The sequence below is a fragment of the Homo sapiens genome, chromosome 1 (assembly GCF_000001405.40).
Source record: "Homo sapiens chromosome 1, GRCh38.p14 Primary Assembly".
NCBI classification, from domain to species: Eukaryota; Metazoa; Chordata; class Mammalia; order Primates; family Hominidae; genus Homo; species Homo sapiens.
This window is the reverse complement of record NC_000001.11, coordinates 1,443,561-1,471,180: the sequence shown is the minus strand read 5'-3', so window position 1 is coordinate 1,471,180 and position 27,620 is coordinate 1,443,561. Positions and strand designations below refer to the sequence as shown.

The window sequence follows — 27,620 nt, the reverse complement described above, 5'->3', positions numbered from 1 at the left end:
CTGTTTATTTCACCTGGGTGCAGGCGGGCTGAGTCCCAAGAGTCGACGAAGGGAGATAGGGGTGGGGCCGTTTTCTAGGATTTGGGTGGGTAATGGAAAATGACAAAGGGCGTTTTTCTCTTGCAGGCAGGGGCGGGGGTCACAAGGTGCTCAGTTGGGGGAGCTTCTGAGCCAGGAAGTTAAGGTGGGGCAAGAACAAATCACAATGGTGGAATGCCATCACCTAAGGCAGGAACCAGCCATTTTCACTTATTTTGTGATTCTTCACTTGCTTCAGGCCATCTGGACGTATACGTGCAGGCTTGGGCTCAGAGGACTGACAGTTCACATCTGTTCCCCTGGTCATCTGCTTTGACCTGAGTCACCTTTAGTTACCCGTCCCATAACTGTTTTTCCTGCCAAACCACTCACCCCGCCACTCTGGCCCATACTCCTGCTCTCTTTAAAGCCAATGGGCATTACTTTAGACTGCGGTCTAACCCTAGCCAATAGGGGAACCACACAGCAGTAGGGGCTACCCGCGTCAGGAATAAGAACCCCTTCCCCTCCCTTGTCCAAGCGCTTGCCATTGCTCCATCTATGAGACCCCCCCTTCTATAGAAGTAAATTATCTAGCTGAGAAAACTTTATATTCGAGTTCTACTTCTTTGGTGGCACAGAAAATTTACATATAACACAGCTGCAGAGATCTCATCACTGCACTCCAGTCTGGGCGACAGTGAGACTCTGTCTCAAAAAAAAAAAAAAAAAAAAAAGCCAGAAAATGCCAGCCAGGCACAATGGCTCACACCCATAATCCCAGCACTTTGGGAGGCCGAGGTGGGCAGATCACCTGAAAACAGGAGTTTGAGACCAGCCTGGCCAACATGGTGAAACCCCCGTCTCTGCCAAAAATACAAAAATTAACCTGGGCATGGTGGCATGCGCCTGTAATCCCAGCTACTCCAGACGTTTAGGCATGAAAATTGCTTGAACCCTGTGTCATGTGCATCTGTGTGAAGAGACAACCAAACAGGCTTTGTGTGAGCAACAAGGCTGTTTATTTCACCTGGGTGCAGGCGGGCTGAGTTCAAAAAGAGAGTCAGCAAAGGGTGGTGGGATTATCACTAGTTCTTACAGGTTTTGGGATAGGCGGTGGAGTTAGGGACAATGTTTTGCGGGCAGGGGATGGATCTCACAAAGTACATTCTCAAGGGTGGGGAGAATGACAAAGAACCTTCTTAAGGGTGGGGGAGATTGCAAAGTACATTGATCAGCTAGGGTGGGGCAGAAACAAATCACAATGGTGGAATGTCATCAGTTAAGGCTCTTTTCACTTATTTTGTGGATCTTCAGTTGCTTCAGGCCATCTGGATGTATAAGTGCAGGTCACAGGAGATATGATGGCTTAGCTTGGGCCCAGAGGCCTGACACCCTGAAGGTGGAGGTTGCAGTGAGCCGAGATCACACCACTGCACTCCACCCTGGGCGAGCAAGACTCTATTGCCAAAAAAAAAAAAAAAACAGACCAGGCACGGTGGCTCAAGCCTGTAATCCCAACACTTTAGGAAGCCGAGGCAGGAGGATTGCTTGAGCCCAGGAGTTGGAGACCAGCCTGGGCAACAAAGGGACCCTGTCTCTACCCAAAAAAATAAGAGAGGAGAAAAACCAAATGAGTTCCCCAGCCATAGTCAGACGCCCCTGACCCCCACCCCCACCCCATGGCTGTAATCAAGGTTTTGGTTATTTAGAGGTACAGTCTCACTCTATCATCCAGGCTGGAGTGCAATGGTGCGATCTTGGCTCACTGCAACCTCTGCCTCCCATGCTCAGGCGATCCTCCTACCTCAGCCTCCAAGCCAAGAAGCTGGGACCACCGGCATGTGCCACCTGGCCCTTTTTTTTTTTTTTTTTTTAGAGGGAGTTTGACTCTTGTTGCCCATGCTGCAGTGCAATTCCATGGTCTCAGCTCAGTGCAACCTCCACTTCCCGGGCTCAAGTGATTCTCCTGCCTCAGCCTCCTGAGTACCTGGGATTTCAGGCACTTGCCACCACGGCCGGCTAATTTTTTTTTTTTTTTTTTTTTTTTTTTTTTTTTTTTTAGGAGAGATGGAGTTTCACCATGTTGGCCAGGCTGGTCTGGAACTCCCGACCTCAGGTGATCCACTCTCCTTGGCCTCGCTGAGATTCCAGGCGTGAGCCACCGCGCCCAGCCCCATCATCAAGGTTTGCAGGGACTAGCTGCAAAGCGCGGGCAGGGGCGGCATCTATTTGAAGCCGCTGTGTCTGTTTCGCGTGCACTTCCCTCCACCGTGTGTCTGGCCACAGGCAGCTCTGGCGGAGGGGAGGGAGGCGAAGGGGCACCCGCGTATGCACGGCCTCAGGATGGGGCACGGGCACCCGGCCCCGCCGTGGCAGCCACCTCCTGTGAAGCCCACCCCTCTGTGGTTAAATCCTCCAGAAAGCCCCAGCTTCTGCCTTTTCTGTCACCTTTGACCCCAGGGGGACGTTAGGGGGCCCCAAACCCCGCCCCGTGTCAGCCAATAGACACAGCGGTGCGGCCCCCGTGGGACTTTATTACGGGGAGTATTTCCTAAATGTGCGGGGCCGCAAAGGCAGGGGTGGGAGGGGTCCGCGGCCAGGCTCCGTGAGGTGTGGTCTCCCCATGGACTCAGGATGAGGGTTGCTCGTCCTCGGGCCCAGGCCTCTCCCCCTTCAGCCAGCGCATCATCTGCTGGTGCTGCTGGACAAAGTCTTGCACGCAGGCGTCCATCATGGCCTCGGTCAGGACCCCGTCCTTGGAGGCATACGCCGTGGCCTAGTGGGGAGAGAGGGAGCTGAGGGAGGCCGCCATGGGAACCCCCCACCCCAAATGCACGCCAGGGCCCTGAGGTGGGGAGGGACCAAACCAGGGGCTCCAGGATGGCCTGAGCGTGAAACACAGGCTACCCGCACCTCGGCAGAGCCCAGCACGTGTGTGGACACCGGGGGCAGCCCCTGCAGTGCCCACAGCCCTGCCTGCGTCCTCAGCACCAATGTTGCTCAATGACTTTCTAATAGAAAGCCCAAGGCGGAGCCTCACTGACGGCCGACCCAGGGCAGCTTCCCAGAGGCAGGTGGGAACTGCAGACCCTCTGCGTGTCTCAGCCGTGGTCAGGCAGTGCCCCCGGGTCATAGTGCACCTCAGACCCTCAGACCCTGACCCTCACAGGCCTCCAGGGCAGAGGCAGCCACTGCCCACCTTGAGGCACGTGGCTGGTGGCACCAAGGCCACCTCTGCCCCCACCTCCCTGTCCTCCTGGGCACAGGGCTTGGCATCTAGCATGTGAAGGCTGGAGCTGCTGGGGCTGTGGCCCTTGGTGTGGCTTCAGGCAGCCTCAGGTCCAGCCCTTCTGCCATGGACAGGTCACTCTCCATCCCAATGCCAGCAAAGGGCATGGAGTCCCCAAGGGGAGGCACCCATGGGTCAGGGTGAGGGTGTGGGGACCCCCACTGGGCGCCATGCTCAAGAGCGCACCAGGACGCCTGGAGGAAGCACAGGGCAGGGGACCCTTCCCGGACAGCTGAGCGGGTCCCTAGCCCCATCCCAGCTATGCCTCCCAGAGGCAGGATTCATCTCACGGGGTGCAGGGGCAGCAGCACACCATCCTCCCACAACACCGTCACCACGATAGAACCTGCCATGGGGATGACCACGTGGTGCCCGTCCCCTCTGCCAGCGCCCATCCCTCACCAAGAGCCACTGTGTGGGGAGACACTGACCGGAGCCGGACCACCACTGTGGGTCGGGGGCCCGGGAGCGCAGGAGACACTGACCGGAGCCGGACCGCCACTGTGGCTCAGGGGCCCAGGACTGCTCAACATCATTTTTGGTCTTGAGCCCACCCAAGAGAGGGCAAACAGGTGCAGGGACCCTCAGGGTCCACCCGAGTGGCTGCACCTCACCCAGGGCCCAGCAGAGGAAAGGGGGTGAGCAGATGCTCACGGAGCCACCCCTCCAGGAAGCACGGGACCTGGCAGGAGCCCACCAGAAGTGACAGCTAAATGTCACGTGGCCTCCTGGGTGGGATTCTGGGGCAAAACCTGGTCGCGGGTGGGTCCAACAGTGACACATGATGTTCACCACGTGGCAAGGTCCCAGGCCCAGGAAGTCTCTGTGCTACTCTTGCAACTTTTCTGGGAACCTAAAATCTTCAAACTATAAAAGTTGAAAGACAAGACCTGGACCTGATGTCTTCACATGTGAATTCACAAAACATTAAGAAGAATCAGTACCACTCCTCAAACTCTTGGACAAATTGAAGAACATTTCCTCACTCATCCTAAGAGGCCAGCATTACCCTCATATCAAAGCCAAAGACACCACAAGAAAAATGACATGCCAATATCCCTGATGAGCATCGTTGGAAAAGTCGTCAAGAAAATGCCAGCAAAACGAATTCAGGAGTATAATAAAAGGATTCCACACCCTGACCAAGCAGGATTTATTCCTGGAATGCAAGGACAGTTCAACATATGAAAATCAATCAATGTTCCACATACAAAATGTTCAACATACAAAAATCAGTCAATATTAGCAGAGTGGAGGAAGGAAACCACATGACCCTCTCAACTGTTGCAGGAAAAACATTTGGCCAAATACAATTTTTTTTTTTTTTTTTTTTTTGAGATGACATCTCCTTCTGTCACCCAGGCATCTCGGCTCACTGCAACCTCCACCTCCCGGGTTCACGCCATTCTCTTGCCTCAGCCACCTGAGTAGCTGGGACTACAGGCACCCGCCACCACACCCAGCTAATTTTTTATATTTTTTAGTAGAGACAGGGTTTCACCATGTTAGCCAGGCCAGGATGGTCTCAGTCTCCTGACCTCATGACCCACCCGCCTCAGCCTCCCAATATGCTGGGATTACAGGCGTGAGCCACCGCGCCCAGCCATTTTTTTTTTTTTTTTTTTTTTGAGACAGAAGTTTGCTCTTCTTGCCCAGGCTGGGGTGCAATGGCAGGATCTCGGCTCACCGCAACCTCTGCTTGCCGCATTCATGCGATTCTCCTGCCTCAGCTTCCCAAGTAGCTGGGATTATGGGTATGCACCACCACGCCCAACTAATTTTGTATTTTTAGTAGAGTCGGGGTTTCTCCATGTTGGTCAGGCTGGCCTCGAACTGCCGACCTCAGGTGATCCACCCACCTCACACTTTTATGATAAAAACACTCACCAAACCAAGAATTGAAGGACACGCCCTAAACACAATGAAGACCATATATCACAAGCCCACAGGTGACATACTCAGTGGTGAAAAACTGGCAGCTTTTCCTCTGAGTAAGGAACCAGGCAAGAATGCTTTACTGCTTCTATTCCACATACCACTGGAAGTTGTGGCCAGGGCCATTAGACAAGAAAAAGAAAAGTCATCCAAACTGAAAAGGGAGAGGTAAAATCACCTGTTCTCAGATGATATAATCTTATATGTAGAAAATCCTAGAATCCATATTGGAAAAAACAACCCTGTGACATCAGCAAAGTTACAGGATACAAAATCAACAGCAAAAACAGCTGCAATTCTACATACTAACAATGAATAATCTTTTTTTTTTTTTTTTTTTTTTTTTAAAGACAGTCTTGCTCTGTCGCCCAGGCTGGAGTGCAGTGGCACGATCTCGGCTCACTGCAAGCTCCGCCTCCAGGATTCACCCCATTCTCCTGCCTCAGCCTCCCGAGTAGCTGGGACTACAGGCACCTGCCGCCACGCCCGGCTAATTTTTTGTATTTTTAGCAGAGATGGGGTTTCACCATGTTAGCCAGGATGGTCTCAATCTCCTGACCTTGTGATCCACCCACCTCAGCCTCCCAAAGTGCTGGGATTAAAGGCATGAGCCACCGCGCCTGGCCCACAATGAATAATCTGAAAGGGAAATTATGAAACCATTTCCATTTACAATAGCATCCGAAAGAATAAAATACTTTGAAATTCACTTGACCGAGAAGGTGAAAGACTTGCACAGTGAAAACTGACCGGGCTCCGTGGCCCACACCTGAATGAATCCCAGCACTTTGGGAGGCTGAGGCGGGCAGATCACCTCATGTCAGGAGACCGAGACCAGCCTGGCCAACATGGTGAAACCCCGTCTCTACTAAAAATACAAAAATTAGCCGGGCATGTTGGCGCGTGCCTGTAATCCCAGCTACTCAGGAGGCTGAGTCAGGAGAATCACTTTAACCCGGGAGGCGGAGGTTGCAGTGAGTTAAGATCGCAACACTGCACTCCAGCCTGGGCGACAGAGCGAGACTCAGTCTCAAAAAGACAAAAAGAGAAAACCACACAATATTGCTGAGAGACATCAAAGCAACATAGAGACTAAATGCAATCCCTGTGAAAACCTCAATTATGTTTTACAAAAATAGGAAAACCATTCCTAAAATTCATATGGAATCTCAAGGGATCCTGAATAGCCCAGACTGGAGTTCAATGGCACCATCTCAGCTCACTGGAACCTCCGCCTCCAGGGTTCAAGTGATTCTCATGCCTCAGCCTCCTGAGTAGCTGGGATTACAGTCACACACCACCACGCCCAGCTAAGTTTCGTATTTTTAGTAGAGACGGGGTTTCACCATGTTGGCCAGGCTGGTCTTGAACTCCTGACCTCAGGCAATCCACCCACCTCAGCTTCCCAAAGTGCTGGGATTACAGGCGTGAGCCACCGTGCCCGGCACAAAAAGAAAAAAACTCTTGAAGGACAAAGTTGGTGCTGGGCGTGTTGGCTCACCACCACCGCTGTGAGCAGTGCAGGATGAGTGTCCTTATAAGGGACACCAGAGAGAGCTGAGTTGCTCTCTCTGCCACATGAGGACCCAGCAAAGAACACTCCACAGGGAGGGACCGAGCTGGCACCCTGACCTTGGGCCTGTAGCCTTCAGAGCTGTGGGCACACACGCCCCAGTGGTTATGGCAGGCCCAGCAGTCGACCACACTCCTGTTCTTTTTTTTTTTTTTTTTGAGACAGTCTCACTCTGTTGCTCAGGCTGAAGTACAGTGGCACGATCTCGGCTCACCACAACCTCCACCTCCTGGGTTCAAGCGATTCTCCTGCCTCAGCCTCCCGAGTAGCTGAGAATACAGGCATGCACCACCACCATGCCCGACCAATTTTTGTATTTTTAGTAGAGGTGGAGTTCGACATGTTGGCCAGGCTGGTCTCGAACTCCTGGCCTCAAGTGATTCTCTCTCCTTGGCCTCCCAGCATGCTGGGATTACAGGCATAAGCCATGACCAAATTATTCTTATTTTTTAAGACAGGGTCTCACTCTGTAACCCAGGCTGGAGTGCAGTGGCACAATCACAGCTCACTGCAGCCTCCGCCTCCTGGACTCAAGTGATCCTCCCACCTCAGCCTCCCAAGCAGCTGGCATCACAGGTATGCACCACTAGGTCTAGCTAATTTTTTTTATTTTTTGTAGAGATGGGTTCTTGACTTGCTTTCCAGGCTGGTCCTGAACTCCTGGTTTCAAATAATCTGGCTGACTTGACCTCCCCAAATGCTGGGAATACAAGCATCAGCCACCACCATGCCCGGCCTCTGCTTTCTTAGTTGTGGAAACAGACCTGGTCCCAAGTGGGGATGGCCTGGAACAGAGACCTCAGCTGACCCAGAAGGACGGGGTTTGAGATCTGGGGTTCTTTGTCACAGCGGCATAACCCAGCCTGTACTGACTAATACAGCTCCCTACATACCCCGGCTCCTACGTTCAAATCAAGGTAGTTGGCTACTTCATTAAGCTGTCACACATAATGTGCTGCTAGATCGAGTGACCAGATTGTCACACAGACTCTGTGGACCCCAGAGGCAGCGATGCCTGTGCATGGCCAGGGTGCCTTCTGCCCCACAGACCTGGTTTTGCTTTTCCAGCAACCCCCAAAGACCAAAGCTTTCTGGATGGCCGTGCCCACACTCCTGTGAGTCCCAGCTCCTTGGCCCTGGGGCAGCCATGGAGCTGCAGGAGGGGTGCCCCTGAGAAACAACTGGCTGTGGGACAATCAGAGGCCACAACTCCCACCCATGTGTCTGGGCCCGTCAAGCAGGACCAAGCCAATGGACTTGGTCCAAGAAACACAACGTCCCTCCACCCCCACCACCAAACTCACAAGGGGCCTGTCCTGATGACCATTCACACTGGGGGGTGCCTGTCTGCCAAGGTGAGCATCAGAAGCCTCCCGCCCCACCTGGCAGAGCCCGGGCTACTAGGAGGCCGCACTGGCTTCCTGACCTGTGACCGTCAGCCACTGACATGGCCCCACCCTTCTTGCTGGAGCAGGTGCACGCTGCTGCGTGGAGTGGCCCAACTGGGGCAGGGGCCCCGTGTCACATCTGTGCACTGAAAACCCCTCAACAGAAGCTCCCACGTGACACCGGTGCTGGGACAGGCCTGGCGCAACCAAGCATCTGCACAGCAGCTGGGCTTCCATCTGGGTGGGTGCACCCGAGCCTGACTCACCTGCCAGGACACGGCCAGCTGTGCGATCTTCCGGCATGACATGCCCTCTGTCAGCCGAGCGATCTCTAAGCACTTCCTCCCGTAGTCAAACTGGGCCAGCTTCAGACGCCTGGGGAAGGAGTTCCCAAGTGGGCCGGCCAAGGCAGCAGCTCCCACACCACGAGGTGGAGGCCGGAAGACAGGCAGCCAGGCGGACACCCATGCCAGATGCCCCCTTGAGAGGGACTCTCTACCTGTGACAGCCAAGTTCCGCCCCCTTCCTGACGCAAGCCAGGCCTGGGCTGAGCAGGAAGGGGGCGGCTGTGGGGCCTGGAGATGGCCGCACCCCTTCCTAACACCAGCCCTGTCCACTCAGCACCCACAGGGCGCATGGCCGTTAAACTGGCAGTGGCAGAGCCCTGAGTTCTAGCAAAAAAGCTTCTGCCTGGAGGCCACAGAAGCCAGGTCATGGTGCCAGAGCTACGAGCAGCCATGGGTGTCGGGGAGCCCAGGGAAGGGGAGGGCATAGGGAAACTGAGACCCGGAAAGCTGGTCTAGCATGGAGCAGGCGGCAGTGGAGGGGTCGGCAGGGGAGAACCAGGCTCTCTTTGGAACAGAGCAGCTTTTGTCGTCACTGGCGACAGCAGGGATTTGGGTCAGGTGCACAGAAGGACTCAGAAACCGGGGCCCTGGGGACGCCAAGAAGTAGAGCAGCCTCTGCTCATCTGGAGTGTTCCCGAGGCAGCCAGTGTGAGGCGCCAGGGCCCCTCATCACCTGGAGGGCTCTGCCCACCGTGCCTGCTGCACCCACCGCCAGCAACAGGGAGCCTGACAGCCTCAAGGCACATGTGCAGCAGGAAGCAAGAGCCGCGCCCCACACCACGAGGCTCCAGGGCCGGGTGTGGCAGCTGCAGGGAGGCCAGGCCAGAAGCCAGCAGTGGACCATGAGGAGCCTCTCCCTCTAGTCCCGACATGGGGGTCTCATGAGGAGCCTCTCCCTCCAATCCCTACATGGGGGTCTCATGAGGAGCCTCTCCCTCCAGTCCCTACATGGGGGTCTCATGAGGAGCCTCTCCCTCCAGTCCCTACATGGGGGTCTCATGAGGAGACTCTCCTTCGAATTCCGACATGGGGGTCTCAGAGCAACACTCCACGTCACCTCCCCTCACTGCCAGGGTCTGGGGGTGGCCAGGTACAGGATTTCCTCACAGCTCTCCGCGTAGTGAAGAGGAACGTAAAAGAGGCCGGGCACAGTGGCTCACATCTGTAATCCCTGCACTTTGGGAGGCTGAAGCGGGCGGATCACCTGAGGTCAGGGGTTCAAGACCAGCCTGGCCAACATGGTGAAACCGCATCTCCACAAAAAATACGAAAAGTAGCCAGACGTGGTCGTGGGCACCTATAATGCCAGCTACTCAGGAGGCTGATGCAGGAGAATCGCGTGAATCCAGGAGGCAGGGGTTGCAGTCAGCTGAGATCGTGCCACTGCACTCCAGCCTGGGGGACAAGAGCGAGACTTCGCCTCAAAAAAAAAAATGTTAAAGGTTTGTAAGTGATAGTGGACTGTGCCTCCAAACCAGAAGACACGCCACCAGGCTGTTCTCAGGTGGGGATGAGGAAAGGGTGGCAGGACCTCCCTGGATGCGGCCTCTGGGACCCTTGGGGCCCACAGGGCTCCTGCACGAAACCGCAGGGCAGGGAGGTGGTGCCCATCCTGGAGACAGGGCCTGCTGGGTGTGTCCGGAGAACAGGAGCAGGGGTGGACCCTGAGCGAGGGCCCCTGGACGGGGGCTGGTGGGGCGGGACACTTACCGCTTTCCTTCTGTGGCCGGCTTAAGAACATACTCGTTAAGATACATTCTCACCAGGCGCGCCCGCTCCTCCTGCCCTGGCAGGTCGAAGTGGACCATCACGTCGATGCAGGCATTGATGGCCCAGTCGAACTGCTCGGGGTGGCAGCTGGCCAGGATCAGCATGAATCTGCGGGGCGGGGATGGGGAAGGAAACGCTGGGGCTGCCGGCCGAGCTGTCCCCAGGGGAACAGGTGCTCCTCAGCCCCCTCAGGAAGACTTTCTGGGAGAATCTAAAGTGGCAGCTTGTGAGCACAGGAAACATGGGGAGAACGCAGCCACAGCCATGGTCACCCGCCTGCCTGCCCCACCACGCCCAGCTGTCCCCCTGCCCGGCTTCCTGGGCCTCTGTTCTTGCCCCGTGTGGTACTTCCCCGCTGACCGTCGCCCAGCCTGATAGGCAGTGCCGGGAACACCACTCCCTCCTGCTACCTGAGCCCCGCTGTGCTGGGAGCAGGGATGCGGGACCCAGAGTCCATGTCAAGATTGTGGCCACGCTGGCCAGACGCAGTGGCTCACGCCTATAATCCCAGCACTTTGGGAGGCCGAGGCGGGTGGGTCACCTGAGGTCTGGAGTTCAACACCAGCTGACTAACATGGTGAAACCCCATCTCTACTAAAAAAGAAAAAATACAAAAAATCAGCCGGGTGTGGTGGCGCACGCCTGTCATCCCAGCCACTTGGGAGGCTGAGGTAGGAGAATCGCTTGAACCCAGGAGGTGGAGGTTGCAGTGAGCCAAGATCACGCCATTGCACCTCAGCCTGGGCAGAAAAAGCAAAAACTCCATCTCAAAAAAAAAAAAAAAAAAATACTGCCACGCGAGCCAGGAGCAGGACCTCGGGGGCCCGGGTTCACTGGAGGCTCAGCAGGGCCCCAGCCTTGCCTCTCTGGGAAGGACCCGAGTCAGGGCTCCAGGGAGCGTCTACCGGCAGCAGCTGACCCAGGAGCCCAACGTGCCTGAGGAGTCAGCCACGGCCGACCAGCAGGACTTGATCCTCCATGTGACACGTGACTGGGGCTGGAGGGACCCAGGAGACCAAGAAAACTCAAAATTAGGGGACTTGGGAGGGACTAGGGAGACTGGCCATGGGGCGGTCACCCTATGGGGGACATCTGGGCGGCAGCCCACAGAGGCCACACAAAGTCGGGTGGGCCCCAAGCCTGGAGGGTGCACCCTTGGCCAGCATCCGGGCGGGGGACCAAGGTCCCAGGTTCCGCCCCGACACACAGGACCTGCTGGTGTCCAACTTCCCGTGGGAGCAAACTTGTCTCCATCTCCCACCCCAGGGCACACACACCCTCCAAGGGAGACCCAGCAGAGCCTCACACGATGAGACCACCTCCCTTGCAGGCACAGGACCGCAGAAACCTAGGGGCAGAGGGACCTGCAAGCTGGGGCGGCGGTGCACAGGGCCGTGAGGACAGGACTGACCCCAGCTCTGCCCGGGAGGCCCCCGCATGTTCCTCAGTGACACCCCGTGCTGTCCTGAGCTGGGCCGTTCCCAGGGGACATCCAAGGTGGGCACGTTGAGGCCACGGCAGCTGCCCAGCACTGTGAGCCAGGGCCCCTCAGGTCCCTCGGTGGGAACCAAGGGTGACGGCTGCACAGCCCTGCCCGGGGGCCCAGGACCCGAGGGGCTCCCTCACTTGTTGCTGTGCTGGCCCGTGCGGTACAGGAAGGCGTTCAGTGTGGCCCTGAGGTCCTCGCTTATCTTCTCCTGCAGAGAGAAGGTTCCAGCCTTAGGCACCAGGAGCAAAGCCTTGTAAACAGCCACAGCAGAAAGTCCCACAGGCCTCCCTCCTGCAGGGAGCAGGGACATGGCGACACTTTCACGGATCTAGACTCAAAAGCCTGACCAGGGCCAGGGGCGGTGACTCACGAATGTAACCTGGATTTTGGGAGGCTGAGGCAGGCAGATCACACGAGGTTGGGAGTTTGAGACCATCCTGGCCAACATGGTGAGACCCCGTCTCTACTAAAAATACAAAAATTAGCCAGGCGTGGTGGCACACCTGTGGTCCCAGCTACGTGGGAGGCTGAGGCACGAGAATCACTTAAACCTGGGAGGCAGAGGTTGCAGCGAGCTGAAATGGCACCGCTGCACTCCAGCATGGGCGACAGAGTGAGACTGTCTCAAAAAAAAAAAACAAACCCTGACTGGGCGTGGGGGCTCATGACTGTAATCCCAGAACTTCAGAAGGTCAAGGCAAGAGCATCTCTTTAGCTCAGAAGTTCGAGCCCAGCCTGGGCAACAAGGGGAAACTCCATCTCTACTAACATTACAAAAAAGTTAGCTGGGGCCTGGCGCGGTGGCTCACGCCTGTAATCCTAGCACTTTGGGAGGCCGAGGTAGGCAGATCACCTGAGGTCGGGAGTTCGGGACTAGCCTGACCGGCATGGAGAAACCCAGTCTCTAGTAAAAAAAAAAAGACAAAATGAGCTGGGTGTGGTGGTACATGACTGTAATCCCAGCTACTTGGGAGGCCGAGGCAGGGGAACTGCTTGAACCCAGGGGGCGGAGGTTGCGGTGAGCCAAGATCGCGCCATTGCACTCCAGCCTGGGCGACAGAGACCCTGTCTTAAAATAATAACTGTATGGCTGGGGGTGGTGGATCACGCATGTAATCCCAGCATTTTGGGAGGCAGCAGCGGGCAGATTATTTGAGGTCAGGAGTTCTCAACCAGCCTGACCAACATGGTGAAACCCCATCTCTACTAAAAATACAAAAAACTTATCTGGATGTGGTGGCACACACCTGTAATCCCAGCTACTCAGGGGGCTGAGGCAGGAGACCAGCTTGAACCCAGGAGGCGGAGGTTGCAGCGAGCCAAGATTGCGCCACTGCAAGCCAGCTTAAGGGATAGAGTGAGACTTTGTCTCAAATAAATAAAAATAAAAATAGACCGGGTGCAGTGGCTCACACCTATAATACCAGCACTTTGAGAGGCTGAGGCAGGGGCATTACAAGGTCAAGAGATCTAGACCATCATGGCCAACGTGGTGAAACCCCATCTCTACTAAAAATACAAAAATTAGCTGGGTGTGGTGGCGGATGCCTATAATCCCAGCTACTTGGGAGGATGAAGCAGGAGAATCGCTTGCACTGGGAGGCGGAGGTTGCAGTGAGCCGAGATCACGCCACTGAACTCCACTCTGGCAACAAAGCAAGACACCATCTCAAAAACAAAACAAAACAAAACAAAAAACACTCAAAAGCCAAACCTTAACTTTAAGCTGACCTAAAAAAATGCTGTTTTTTTTGTTTTTTTTTTTTTTTTTTTGAGATGAAGTCTCGCTGTGTCGCCCAGGCTGGAGTGCAGCAGCACGATCTCGGCTCACTGCAAGCTTCGCCTCCCGGGTTCACGCCATTCTCCTGCCTCAGCCTCCCGAGTAGCTGGGACTACGGGCGCCCGCCACCACGCACAGCTAATTTTTTTTGTATTTTTAGTAGAGACGGGGTTTCACCGTGTTAGCCAGGATGGTCTTGATCTCCTGACCTCGTGATCCACTTGCCTCGGCCTCCCAAAGTGCTGGTATTACAGGCGTGAGCCTCCACACCTGGCCAAAAATGCTGTGTTTTTCACACAAAACTTAGAGAAAAAGAAATTGAGCAGTGGGCTGCGGCCTGGCCCAGGATGACAGCCGCACACACCCCACCACCCTCCTGTGGCCAGACAGAGGCTTAGTGACACTCACAGTGGCTCGCTTCCGAAGGAAGGCGTCCGCTTCATCCACAAAGAGCAGGAGGCTGTGGACGAGAGGGAGGCCAAGCTGGGTGAGAGTGATGCCAGGAGCAGCCCACAGCGGCGTCCGGCCATGGCAGGAGCAGGCCAAGCAGGCAGATCCCCACGGGGTCAGGCTCTGCCCCACGGAGCCCTAAGTCCTGGACCTGACAGAAGCTGATCCACCGACAGAAGCAGACTCTGCCCCGCAGGCTTCACCCCCACTCAGCCCAGTGCAGCGCTGGTGGCCGCTTAGAGTCCACACCAGGGACAGGTCTTCTAAAGTGAAAGGTCAAAGGCCAGAGGGGAGGGTGCCAACCATGAGCATCGTGGTTCCAACGAGGACAGCCGAGGCCACAAGGGTGCCCGGGCTGTGCCCTGCGCGGGGTCACTGTGGGACCTATTGAAGGGAGTGTGCCATGCTGTCTTCAGCTAACTTTCAAATGGTTCTAGAAAAGGCAACCAGTGCCCACGCCCACCTGCAGGCGTGTTGGGGGGAGGGCGGCTGTGGAGGAGCCTCCCCTGCAGCTGTGAAGACCCCTCTCCCCCTGCACCCACCCACCTCCCTTCTGCCCTGAGCCAAGTATCCCACTGGCAGCCTCCACACGCTGGGGGCCTCGTGTCCACCAGGGTCCACACTCAGGGGACTTTCCCTCCGAGGGACCCTCCACTGGGCCTCCTGCGTGGCCACAAGGACAGAGCTGCAGAAAGACAGGGTCCCCAAGAGACACCTGGACCCCCTTCCCAGAAGGCAGCCTGCTGGGCCGCAGCCAAGGGCCTGGTGCATGCTGTGGGGACGTCTCACCCGCGCCGGCTGGTATTGGCCCAGTCAAAGAGCTTGTGCATGGCGGTCACGCCTTCCCGCCCCATGGGGGCCACGTCCCCGCCTGTCATGATGGCGTAGTCCATGCCTGAGTGCAGGGCGAGTTTCTGGACAAGAAGAGTGAGGGGAGACAGAACAGATGTTCCCTCCGCCTCTGCAAAGCCTGCACACTCCACCCGGAGTGTGGAGGCTCTGCCCAGCGTCCCTGCCTGGAAGCCACAGCCTGCCAGACAGGAGACGTCCCCCGCCTGGAAGATGGGAGGCGCTGCTGCCCACACCAGCACCCTGAGCCTACACGAGGGTGGGCAAAGGCCTAAGGGGGGTCCATTCCCCAGGCAGCTGAGCCCCCCAGACACCTGCAGGCAGGTGAGACCCCAGCGGCCCCTGGCCCACCTGTTCAGCTAGGCACTCTCACCTTGGCAAACAGCGTCTTCCCGGTGCCTGGTGGCCCGTACAGCAGGATGTGCCTGTACAGGCCCCGGTTCTTCTTGATGTTCCTTGTCATTATGGCGATGTCGCGCACCCGTGCTTCCAGGCTGGGCTGCCGAGGAAGACAGGGGCTTGGAGGACACAGTCTGCACCCACAGAAGCCTCGGGGGCAGGGGCTGCGAGAATGCCTGGGTGTGGACTCCGCTCTCCGGGGAGCCACCCAGCTCGTGGGCAGCCTATCTATCCCCGGCACGGTCCAAGCAGTCGCATCTCAGGACCCAAAAGATCCTGGGCGCCACCAGGAGCGCCAGCAAGGGCCACAGCCCAGCCCAGCTCCGGGGTCCCCTCCCTGCGCCTCCCCGGTCCCAGGCACACCGACTTACACTAAGCACAACACCCTCCAGCACGTCCTGGGGTCGACTGAGGAGCCGCCGGCTGACCTGCTGGAGGGGAAGGGGAAGCACCATTGGGTCACCTGCCACAGCCACGGAACAGCCACCAACGCACACACAAGCTCGGTAACACGCAGAAACGGAGCTGCCCCGAATCACAGCCAGGACCGGCCTGGAGCTGGAACCCCGCCCCGCCGGGAGACTGGGTGTCTGTTGCAGGGATTGGGGGCATTTTCCGGTTTCTTATCGGCTTCTCTTTTTTCTGGGTTTTTTTTTTTTTTTTTTTTTTTTTTTGAGACGGAGTCTCACTCTGTCGCCCAGGCTGGAGTGCAGTGGCGTGATCTCTGCTTACTGCAAGCTCCATCTCCCAGGTTCAAGCCATTCTTCTGCCTCAGCCTCCCGAGTAGCTGGGACTACAGGCGCCCGCCACCACGCCCGGCTAATTTTTTGTATTTTTTTAGTAGAGATGGGGTTTCACTGTGTTAGCCAGGATGGTCTCGATGTCCTGACCTCATGATCCACCTGTCTTGGCCTCCCAAAGTGCTGGGATTACAAGTGTGAGCCACCACGCCCGGCCAGCTTTTATTTTCTTAACCACCCACCGAGTGACCTGTGGAGACACTGCCACCCCCGTGTGGAGAGCAGGCACCTTGGGGGCTGGCAAACGGCGCGGCTCCCCAGGGAGGCCGCCAGACACTGTGGCCTGTAGCAGCTTCCCCGACAGACGGCCGCACACCCAAATCCCGGGTCTTGCAAGGACCCCGATGTGCTCCCAGGCCCCATCAAGAGCCCTGAGCAGGGGACACCGAGGCAGACAGGGGAAGGGTCTCACTGATGCAGACCCCTAAGGTACAGCGCCAGACAGGAAAACCCACCCGTGAAGCAGCGTGCGGGTGCCTGTTATCCGGGGAAAGGGAAGGGACAGGAGTATATGCGTGGGCTGTGCTCGTGGGGCAGAAGGGACTCAGCCAGGCACTTGCACTCAGGGAGGGCCAGGCCTGCGCCGCTACCTGGATGGGGTGCCGCAGCGCCTCAAGCACCGTGATGCGGGACGTCTCCCTCACTAGGGACGGCTTCCCCAGCCGAGCCTCGATGTAGCGGCCAGTGACGGCTGTCGCATTCTTGGCTGAGTAGACCCCGACAGCCAGCAGCGTCAGCCCAGCCACCTGCAGCAGAGACACCGCACTGGCGCACCGGCCCCCACCGTCCCTCCCTCCTAGAGCAGGAGACGCACGGGGCTGCCCCCACCCTCTCTCCGCCTGAGGGAGAAGCACAGGGCCGTGTGCTGGCCCCACAGGAACCCGAATTCCCAGCCCCGAATCCCACAGCCACGCGGTTACAGGAGGCAGGTGGGGCAGTCACAGCGCCCTCACTCAGGGCCATTTTCTCTGCAACTGGTAGCATAAATCCTACAAAGCTCTGGTCGCTGAGCGGGGCCCTGGGCAGACCCAGCTGGATATGTCACAGGGCCACACCCTCGGTACATTCTTGGCCACTAAAAATGGTACTTTATTCCTGGAAAACAAGACTAACCCAAAATCTCTAACTCGTTTTAAAAATCAATTAGGCCGGCTGGGCACAGTAGCTCAGGTCTGTAATCCCAGCACTTTGGGAGGCTGAGGCAGGTGGATCACCTGAGGTCGAGAGTTGAAGACCAGCCTAACCCACATGGAGAAACCCCGTCTCTACTAAAAATACAAAAAGTTAGCTGGCCATGATGGCACATGCCTGTAATCTCAGCTACTTGGGAGGCTGAGGCAGGAGAATCACTTGAACCCGCGAGTCGGAGGTTGCAGTGAGCCCAGACTGCGCCGTCACACTCAAGCCTGGGCAACAACAGGGAAACTCCATCTCAAAAAAAAAAAAATGGTTTATGCCAGGCCTGGTGGCTCATCCCTGTAATCCCAGCACTTTGGGAGGCCAAGATGGGTGGATCACTTGAGGCCAGGAGTTCGCAACCAGCCTGGCCAACATGGTAAAACCCCACCCCTACTATAAATACAAAAATTGGCCGGGCATGGTGGTACACACCTGTAATCATAGCACTTTCTGAGGCCAAGGCAGGTGGATCACCTGAGATCAAGAGTTCGAGACCATCCTGGCCAACAGGGTGTAACCCTGTCTCCACCAAAATAGAAAAATTAGCCAGGCATGGTGACCTGCACCTGTAATCCTGGCAACACGAGAGGCTGAGGCAAGAGAATCGCTTGAACCCGGGAGGCGCAGGTTGCAGTGAGCCGAGGTGGCGCCACCGCACTCCAGCCTGGAAGACAGAGTGAGAGCCTGTCTCTAAATACAAACAAAAGTCAACAGTGCATTAAGCAGCTCTGTCATGTCCTCAGGTGACACCGTCTCACCAACATGGCGGCAACACCACCTGCAACATTCACCGTCACACTGACCAGGCCACCGGCAGGCGCTGCAGTCACAGCTCTGGGTGCTGGCACCACGGCAGAGCAAGTGCCCACTCAGTGCCGGGGACCTACTGTGTGCTGGGCGGGGTGGGGGGACGGAGGACACAGCCATGTGCGACGTGGGGCGCCACCACAGCAGGCCGGAGCCTGGGCACAAAAGAGTGAGGCTTTAAAGGAGAGAGGAATCTGTGAACTTCAAACTCTCAGGGTTTTCTGAGGAATAAAGAGGGTTTTTGCAAAATGGAGTCAGGGTCGCCTTCTGTTTTTTCTTTCTTTCTTTCTTTCTTTTTTTTTTTTTTGAGAAGGAGCCTCGCTCTGTCCCAAGGTTGGAGTGCAATGGCAGGATCTTGGCTCACTGCAACCTCTGCCTCCCGGGTTCAAGTGATTCTCTACCTCTGCCTCCTGAGTAGCTGGGACTACAAGCACGTGCCATGTGTAGAGATGGCATCTCACTGTGTGGCCCAGACTGGCAACTGCATTTTCTTCTCCCAGCTCAAGGAGGGAGGAGCGGCTCCCACCAGCAGGTCCAGTTTGGGCTTGTTCCATGCTGGGAGAGCGCCAGGACCTGTGCAGAGCCAGCAGGGATAGGACCTGTGGCTCCAGGAGGCCCCCACATGCTGCCCCTCAGCCACCTGCCAGCCCTGTTTTATGAGTATGTTTACCGTGGCTGTCACTTTGTCCCGGTCTGTCACAAAGGCACGGAATCCTTCCCCAAACAAGGTGCCAGCCGCCCTGTGGGGAAAGCAGTGGTGTGACCAGGAGGGAAACAAAGACCCACGCCACGTAGCAAGAACAGGTTGAGGGTGAGGCCTTGACACAGCAGCCTGGTCCTGCCAGGACAGGGGGGCAGTGTCCCCACCAAGGAGCCAGCCTACAGCGGCCAGACCTGGGAGAGCTGGAGAGCACCCTGGGACCAGCGACTCACACCTGTGGGGGCTCCATCTGCGGCCGGCCCGGGCCTCGGCAGCGCTCACCTGATGGACTCCAAGAAGGTCTGATGGTGCTTCTGCACGGACTCCTCCTGCTTCCGTAAATCCTCATTGACAAGTTGCTGAGAAGAAGCCGCAGAAAAAGAGAAAAGCCTTTAAAACCAGAAAAATGCTCAACACCAATCCAGAGGTTGCGTCCGCCCCAGGACCGCAGGGCTCCAAGCGTCCCGGGCACCTGGGGACCTGCAGACGCCGCACCCTGACACAGACACGGGTGACATCGGCCGGGACGGCAGTCACTGAGGGGATGGGTTCAGGGGCCCAAACTCCCCAGCGGCAGAAACAGCCCCCACTGTGGCTTCCCTGACAAGGGCCACTGCTGGCCGACCTCCCAACACCACTGCCCTGATTCAGGCTGGGCTTAAGGAAGCTTCTGTCTTCTGCCAATTAAACGTTAAAGCTACAATGCCCACAACAGGCAACACGTGAACCCCGCCTGTGAGCTCAGGACTGAAGGTGACCGGCCGGGCACCGTGGCTCACACCTGTAATCCCAGCACTTTGGGAGGCCGACGCAGGTGATCACTTGAGGTCAGGAGTTCAAAACTAGCCTGGCCAGCATGGTGAAACCCTGTCTCTAATAAAAATACAAAAATTAGCCGAGTATGGTGGTGGGTGCCTGTAATCCCAGCGACTTGGGAGGCTGAGGCAGGAGAATGGCTTGAACCCAGGAGGCAGAGGTTGCGGTGAGCTGAGATCGCACCATTGCACTCCAGCCTGGGCAACAGAGTGAGACTCCGTTTCAAAATAAATAAAATTAAAAAATCTTGCTGAGCTGGACGCGGTGGCTCACGCCTGTAATCCCAGCACTTTGGGAGGCTGAGGCAGGCGGAGATCAGGAAATCGACACCATCCTGGCTGACACGCTGAAACCCCATCTCTACTAAATATACAAAAAAAATTAGCTGGGCGTGGTGGCAGGTGCCTGTAGTCCCAGCTCCTCAGGAGGCTGAGGCAGGAGAATGGTGTGAACCCGGGAGGTGGAGCTTGCAGTGAGCCAAGGTCGCACCACTGCACTCCAGCCTGGGCGACAGAGCAAGACACCATCTCAAAAAAAAAAAAAATCCTGCTGAGTCAAAGAAATGAGGTGAGAATGTCAAGAAGATCCAGGCCCTCAGGACGACCAGACGCCCTCACCAACACCGGCCCTCCCTCTCGGGCGGCTCTGCGGCAGCGTCTCTCACCTCCCCTTGTTTCCTTCTGTGAAATGAGGCGCCCAAGCTTGGCCCTGGGCCCCACTGCTGCCCATGTACACACCCCCGGCCCTACCCACCGGCAGTAGCCCTACCAATCTCCACGCCCGAACCCCATGTGTGCCCCGGCCTCCCCGCCCACACCGGCCCCACTCACTTTGAGCTTGGACTGTTGCTCCAACTGCAGCGTCTGCTCCTGCATCTGCGCCAGATTCAGGGCGTCCTTTGACATGGCCTGCAGATGCAGGGACACGGAGGGCAGGTGTTAGGATACACGGATGCCGCTGGGCAGGCACGCACACCAGCCAAGGGGCTTTCTGGAATCCACGGCCACGCCTCGACCTCAAAGCCCCCAGCCCTGCCTCCCCATCCTCCTTCCTAGTCAGACCTGGCGTGACGATGCCCCATCCCCAGCACACGGCCTGATGCATTTGTGAGGTTTTATGCCCTCCAGGGATGGTCTTGGAGAGCCACATCAGGAAGGCCATCCCATGTGGACGGGAGGAGGCTCTTTCCCAATTCAACAGAAAGTCAGGCGATGGCTAAAGTGTCCATTTTTTCACGTTACACATGCTTTTTTTTTTTTTTTTTTTGAGACGGAGTCTCATTCTGGCCCAGGCTGGAGTGCAGTGGCATGATCTCTGCTTACTGCAAGCTCTACCTCTCGGGTTCACGTCACTCTCCTGCCTCAGCCTCCCGAGTAGCTGGGACTACAGGCGACCGCCACCACACCCGGCTAATTTTTGTAGTTTTAGTAGAGACGGTTTCACCGTGTTAGCCAGGATGGTCTCGATCTCCTGACCTCGTGATCCGCCCACCTCAGCCTCCCAAAGTGCTGGGATTACAGGTGTGAGCCACCGCGCCCGGCACATACCCTTTTCCTAAGCTTCCAATGGCTGTTGTCAGTGATCTGCTATCAAGAACGTGCGGGCAAGAAAATGAAAGAATAAGAATTAGATAGCAGCCAACAAGCTCAGGGTGACGAGGACAAGCATCTGACAACGTCCTCAGTTACATTTTGTTCCTAGTGGGGAACCGACACAGGTCAATGTTTGGGTGACCTGGGACAGAAGTACGTATTCTCTGAGCTGCTGAGGACTCAGCATCAGGTCTCAACATTTTCCGGGATGAGTTTTCCCATCACAAAATTTTACCATAAAAATCTTCTGGCCGGGCGCGGTGGCCCATTGAGAAAATATGCAGGACCTTGGGGAGTTAATCATGAAGGGGATTAAAGAATCCATGCCCGGAACCCAGAATCTTACCCGAATATTTAACATACAGCAAGGAAAAGATAAAGGGCCTGCGACATAATTTTTAGACAGATTAAAAGAACAAATGAGAAAATATGCTGGTCGAGGTGTCGAGGATCCTCTTGGGCAAGGAATTTGTCACTAACAGTTGGCCAGATATTAACCACAAATTACAAAAGAAAGAACTAGAAAAATAAGCCTGTAGAAGAGATTCTAAGAGAAAGGGAAAAAAATCTTAGAGGAAAGAGAAAGACTGACAGAAGGAACAGAGAAAGTCAGAGAGAGAGAGAGAGTCAGAGAGAGAGAGAGACAGAGTCAGAGAGACAGAGTCAAAGAGAGAGAAAGACTGACAGAGGGAACAGAGGAAGTCAGAGAGAGAGAGAGAGTCAAAGAGAGAGAGAGACAGGCAGAGACAGAGTCAGAGAGAGAGACAGAGTTAGAGAGTGAGACAGAGACAGACAGAGAGAGACAGAGTCAAAGAGACAGAGAGAGCCAGAGAGAGAGAGAGACAGAGTTAGAGAGAGAGAGAAAAGGAGAGATAGAAGTAGTCAAGAAAAAGCAATGTGCCCCATTCTTTTAAAAGCCAGAGTACGCCCGGCGTGGCAGCTCACCACGCCTGTAATCCCAGCACTTTGGGAGGCCGAGGCGGGCAGTTCAGGAGGTCAGGAGATCATCCTGGTTAACATGGTGAAACCCTGTCTCTACTAAAAATACAAAAAATTAGCCGGGTGCGGTGGTGGATGCCTGCAATCCCAGCTATGCAGGAGGCTGAGGCAGGAGAATTGCTTGAACCCAGGAAAGACAGAGGTTGCAGTGAGCCGACACAGTGCCACTGCACTCCAGCCTCGACGACGAATGAGACTCTGTCTCAAAAAAAAAAAAAAAAACAACTTACCGAAAGGCATGGAGGCCACTGACAACTATCCTTAATGTGGTAACCCACAGACGGCCGTAGTGCATTACAGGACGACACTTATTTAAAGATAGTTCCTCCCAGGTGATTCGAGGAAAAAGACACAATGGGTAATCAGTAACTAACAGGAAAAACTCTTGTGGAAATAGAGTTAAGAGGCCGGGCTCTGTGGCTCACACCTGTAATCCCTGCACTCTGGGAGGCTGAGGCGAGTGGATCACCTGAGGTCAGGATCACCTGAGGTCAGGAGTTCGACAGCAGCCTGGCCAACATGGTGAAACCCCATCTCTACTAAAAATACAAAAATTAGCTGGCCGTAGTGGCAAGCACCTGTAATCCCAACTACTCAGCATGCTGAGGCAGGAGAATCGCTTAAACTCAGGAGGTGGAGGCTGCAATGAGCCGAGATCACGCCATTGTACTCCAGCCTGGGTGACAGAGTAAGACCTCCGTGTCAAAAAATAAAAAATAAAAAAATAGAGTTAAGAAAGTTTCCTAATAACTGGTCTGCTCAAGCATGAGAGCTGTTTGCACTCAGCCAAGCCTCAAAGTACTTACAGAACCAGGAAGGAACCATCTATACCAATTCTAAGTATGCCTTTTAACTGGGCTTTTTTTTTTTTTTTTTTTTGAGACAGAGTCTCACTCTGTCGCCCAGGCTGGAGTGCAGTGGCGCTATCTCGGCTCACTGCAAGCTCCGCCTCCCGGGTTCACGCCATTCTCCTGTCTCAGCCTCCCGAATAGCTGGGACTACAGGTGCCTGCCACCACACCTGGCTAATTTTTTGTATTTTTAGTAGAGACAGGGTTTCACCATGTTAGCCAGGATGGTCTCGATCTCCTGACCTCGTGATCCACTCGCCTCGGCCTCCCAAAGTGCTGGGATTACAGGCATGAGCCACTGCGCCCGGCCTGAAGTGGCTTATACATTAAAAAATATATATATTAGACTGAATGAAGTCTTATTAATAGCAAAGGATAATTAAAATCCCAAACTCGCAAGGTTTTCAGCAAAAGTAAAGTTTGCTATAAGTTATCATCGTAGGCCAGGTGCAGTGGCTCATGCCTGTAATCCCAGCACTTTGGGAGGCCGAGGCGGGTGGATTGCCTGAGCTCAGGAGTTTGCAATCAGCCTTGGCAACATGGTGAAACCCCGTCTCTACTAAAATACACAAAATTAGCCGGGTGTGTCAGCCTGTGCCTATAGTCCCAGCTACTCGGGAGACTGAGGCAGGAGAATCACTTGAACCCAGGAGGCGGAGGTTGCAGTGAGACAAGATCGTGCCACTGGACTCCAGCCTCGGTGACAGAGCAAGACTCCGTCTCAAAAATAAAAAATAAAAAAAAAGGCTGAGCGCGGTGGCTCACGCCTGTAATCCCAGCATTTTGGGAAGCCGAGATGGGCAGATCACGAGGTCAGGAGACCATCCTGGCTAACACGGTGAAACCCTGTCTCTACTAAAAATACAAAAAATTAGCTGGGCATGGTGGCGGGCACCTGTGGTCCCAGCTACTCAGGAGGCTGAGGCAGGAGAATGGCGTGAACCCAGGAGGTGGAGCTTGCAGTGAGCCGAGATTGTGCCACTGCACTCCAGCCTGGGTGACAGAGCGAGACTCCGTCTCAAAAAGAAAAAAAAAAAAATAGGGGAACCACACAGCAGTAGGGGCTACCCGCGTCAGTAATAAGAACCCCTTCCCCTCCCTTGTCCAGGCGCTCGCCATTGCTCCAGCTATGAGACGCCCCCTTCTATAGAAGTAAATTTCGCAGCTGAGAAAAATTAACATTCGAGTGCTACTTCTTTTGCGACACCGAAAATTTACATAAAACACAGTGAGCCGCCGAGATCTCACCACTGCACTCCAGCCTGGGCGACGGAGTGAGACTCCGTCTGAAAACAACAAACAGGCCGGGCGCGGTGCCTCAGGCCTGTAACCCCAACACTTTGGGAGGCCGAGGCAGGAGGATCGCTTGAGCCCCGGAGTTGGAGACCAGCCTGGGCAACAAAGAGAGACCCCGTCTGTACCAAAAAATAGGAGAGGAGAAAAACCCAATGAGTTCCCCAGCTGTACCCCCACCCACCGACCCCATCCCCACCCCTCGCCATGGCCATCATCAAGGGTTTGGTTTTATTTTTATTCTTTAATTTATTTTGAGACAGGGTCTCACTCTGTCACCCAGGCTGGAGTGCAGTGGTGTGATCTCGGCTGTCACCTCTGCCTCCCATGCTCAGGCGATCCTCCTAGCTAAGCCAACAAGCTGGGACCACAGGCACATGCCACCAGGCACCGCTAATTTTTATTTTATATTTGAGACGGAGTTTCACTCTTGCTGCCCAGGCTGGAGTGCAATGGCGGGGTCTTGGCTCACTGCTACCTCTGCCTCCTGGGTTCAAGTGATTCTCCTGCCTCGGCCTCCGAGTACCTAGGATTACAGGCACCTGCAACCACGCCCCAGCTAATTTTTGTATTTTTAATAGAGACAGGGTTTCACCACATTGGCCGGGCTGGTCTCGAACTCCTGACCTCAGGTGATCCACCCGCCTCAGCCTCCCAAAGTGCTGGGATTACAGGAGTGAGCCACGGCACCTGGATTTTTCTTTTGTATTTTTTGTAGAGATGGGGTTTCACCATGTTGGCCATGCTGTTCTCAAACTCATGAGCTCAGGAGATCCACCTGCCCAGGCCTCCAAAAGTGGTAGGATTCCAGGCGTGAGCCACCGTGCTGGGCTCCATCAAGGTTTTTTTTTCTTTTTTTTTTTAAACAGTTCCATTGCCCAGGCCGGAGTGCAGTGGCTCCATCTCGGCTCACTGTGACCTCCGCCTCCTGGGTTCAAGCGAATCTCCTGCCTCAGCCTCCCGAGTAGCTGGGATTACAGGCACCCACCACCATGCCGGCTAATTTTTTTGTATTTTTAGTAGAGACGGGGTTTTGCCATGTTAGCCAGGTTGATCTCCAACTCTTGACCTTGTGATTCACCTGCCTCAGCCTCCCAAAGTGCTGGGATTACAGGCGTGAGCCACCTAGCCCAGTCTAACCTGGCTTAATTTTAAATACAAAGTATTGATTGCTGGTTTAAGATTTAGGCAATTCCTTTAAAGAGGAATTGAGGCCAGGCTTGGTGGCTCATCCTGTAGAGGCGGGAGGATCTCCTGAGGCCAAGAGTTGGAGACCAGCCTGGGCATTATAGCAAGACTCGGTCTCTACAACAAATTTTTAGCATTAGCGGGCGTGGTGGTGCACGCCTCTGGGGCTAATTAGGGCCTAGTAGGGTATGGCTACTGGACAGGCTGAGGCAGGAGGATCACTTGAGCCTGGGAGGTCGAGGCTGCAGTGAGCTATAATCACACCACTGCACTCCAGCCTGGGCTCAGAGTAAGAACCCATCTCTAAAAGGAAAAAGAGAGAAATGGAGAGAGCGCGCAGAGGTAGACAGCCTCCCTCCAAGCACTGCAGCTCCGAGGGGTCTGCTCTCCGATGGGCCCGTTGCATGCCCAGGCCGAGGGGTCTCGTTCTCCGATGGGCCCGTTGCGTGCCCAGGCCGAGGGGTCTGCTCTCCGATGGGACCGTTGCGTGCCCAGGCTCCTCTTCTGTTTCCTACTTCAACCAACAGCCTACACCCTTCCTAAGGACACAAAGTTCAGAAAGCATTGTTTCATCGACCAATATGAGGCTCTGCGCCATGGCACTGTGCTGTCTCGTTGCTGTGATTCCCCCGACCACCCCTGCACCCCACCCTGCCCCCAAAGCAAAGGTTTCCTGTCTGAGAGTCCTCCAGCAGCGAGGACCTGGAGGAGTGACTGTGCAGGTTCCAGATGCAGGTGGACAGCCTGGCCTCCGGCCTGACCTTGAGCCAAGACAGGGACGCAGCTGCCTCCGGAAGCCTGGGCCAGCGGGGACAGGGGCTGCAGTCCCAGAGTAGGCCCCAGCCAGGCAGTGGGTACCACGCTCTGCTCCCAGAATTCAGGCAGCGAGTGTGGTTCCTGAGCTCTCTGCATCTGAGCAGACCTCTGGGGACAGGGAGCTGCATGGCATGCCAGGACTGTGGTCTCTCAGTGTGGCCTGTGGCCCCCAGTGACCCAGCCCCAGGGCACCCAGGACCGAGGCTGCAGTGGCCGACTGCGTGTCTTCCATGGACGATGCCTGGGCAGAAGCGTGCCCTCTTACACCTGGGCGCAGTGTGGTCATGAAGTCACCGCTGGCCCCCACATCACTCTGCAGCCTCATTCTTCTCGGGGGCCCGGCCTTCAGGAGGGAGGGGCAGGTCCCATTCCTATTCCTTCTCTCCAGCTTCCAAAATGACCCAGTAGTTCTGGTCTCAACCTGGGCCAGCATGGGCCCCCTGCTCCTTCCCCACTCGTTCTGGTCTCAGCCTGGGCCAGCATGGGCCCCCTGCTCCTTCCCCAATGGGCAGGTCCTCGCACAACCAAAAGAAGAGCTGCCCAACTGGACCCTCCTGAGCCACGGCCCCCAGTGTATGGCCCTGGGCTACTGGTCCGCCCCAACCACCCACCAAAAGCAGGGCTCCCAGTTCTCCATAGGGCTCCCTGAAAGCCATCAGCCCCTGCCAGCACTCCTCAAAGTGCACTGATTCTCGAGAGGCAAACGAAAGCAGCAGTGCCAGGCCAGGCGCGGTGGCTCCTGTCTGCAGTCCCAGCACTGAGGGAGGCCAAGGCAAGAGAATCCTTTGTGGTCAGGAGTTTGAGAACAGCCTGGGTAACAGGAAGACCCTTATCCCTAAAAAAAAAAATGTTGCCAGGAGTGGTGACTTACACCTGTAATCCCAGCACTTTGGGAGGCTGAGGTGTGTGGATCACTCGTGCCCAGGAGTTCAAGACAAACATGGGCAACACGGCAAAATCCCATCTCTACTAAAAATACAAAAATTAGCTGGGCGTGGCGGGGTGCGCCTGTAGTCCCAGCTGCTCGGAGGGCTGAGGTGGATCGTTTGAGCCTGGGAGATGCAGGCTGCAGTGAGCTATGAGTACATTACTGCACTCCAGCCTAGGAGTGAGATCCTGTCTCAAAAAAAAAAAAAAAAAAAAAAAAAAAAAAAAAAAAAAAAAAAAAAAAAAAAAAGGGACCAGGCAGGGTGCTCACACCTGTAATCCATGCACTTTGGGAAGCTGAGGCGGTTGGATCACCTGAGGTCAGGAGTTCGAGACCAGCCCGGCCAACGTGGTGAAACCGTC

At 55.6% G+C, this 27,620-nt stretch overlaps 1 protein-coding gene across 1 annotated transcript, besides 4 other annotated features; it reads right to left on the bottom strand.

Annotated features, from left to right (window-relative positions):
* Positions 1-1,017: 1,017 nt before the first annotated feature.
* ATAD3C (ATPase family AAA domain containing 3C) lies at positions 1,018-21,492 on the bottom strand. Its single transcript, NM_001039211.3, has 12 exons — positions 20,423-21,492; positions 19,059-19,135; positions 18,747-18,816; positions 16,681-16,836; positions 15,662-15,721; positions 15,265-15,390; positions 14,832-14,956; positions 14,001-14,052; positions 11,950-12,020; positions 10,264-10,431; positions 8,473-8,581; positions 1,018-2,797 (listed from the first exon to the last, which is right to left on the bottom strand). The coding sequence occupies exons 1-12, from the start codon at positions 20,495-20,497 to the stop codon at positions 2,651-2,653; spliced, it is 1,236 nt and encodes a 411-aa protein (NP_001034300.2). The 5' UTR covers positions 20,498-21,492; the 3' UTR covers positions 1,018-2,650.
* Positions 8,536-8,595: an enhancer, noted in NCBI's record as "active region_22". NCBI's record gives its function as "activates an Ori minimal core promoter by ATAC-STARR-seq in GM12878 lymphoblastoid cells {active_cell/tissue: GM12878}" and the evidence as "EXISTENCE:reporter gene assay evidence [ECO:0000049][PMID:35858748]".
* Positions 8,616-8,695: an enhancer, noted in NCBI's record as "active region_21". NCBI's record gives its function as "activates an Ori minimal core promoter by ATAC-STARR-seq in GM12878 lymphoblastoid cells {active_cell/tissue: GM12878}" and the evidence as "EXISTENCE:reporter gene assay evidence [ECO:0000049][PMID:35858748]".
* Positions 8,781-9,555: an enhancer, noted in NCBI's record as "H3K4me1 hESC enhancer chr1:1397006-1397780 (GRCh37/hg19 assembly coordinates)". NCBI's record gives its function as "activates a minimal SCP1, AML or CMV promoter by ChIP-STARR-seq in primed H9 embryonic stem cells {active_cell/tissue: H9 hESC(primed)}" and the evidence as "EXISTENCE:reporter gene assay evidence [ECO:0000049][PMID:30033119]".
* Positions 16,103-16,602: an enhancer, noted in NCBI's record as "H3K4me1 hESC enhancer chr1:1389959-1390458 (GRCh37/hg19 assembly coordinates)". NCBI's record gives its function as "activates a minimal SCP1, AML or CMV promoter by ChIP-STARR-seq in naive H9 embryonic stem cells {active_cell/tissue: H9 hESC(naive)}" and the evidence as "EXISTENCE:reporter gene assay evidence [ECO:0000049][PMID:30033119]".
* Positions 21,493-27,620: the final 6,128 nt, after the last annotated feature.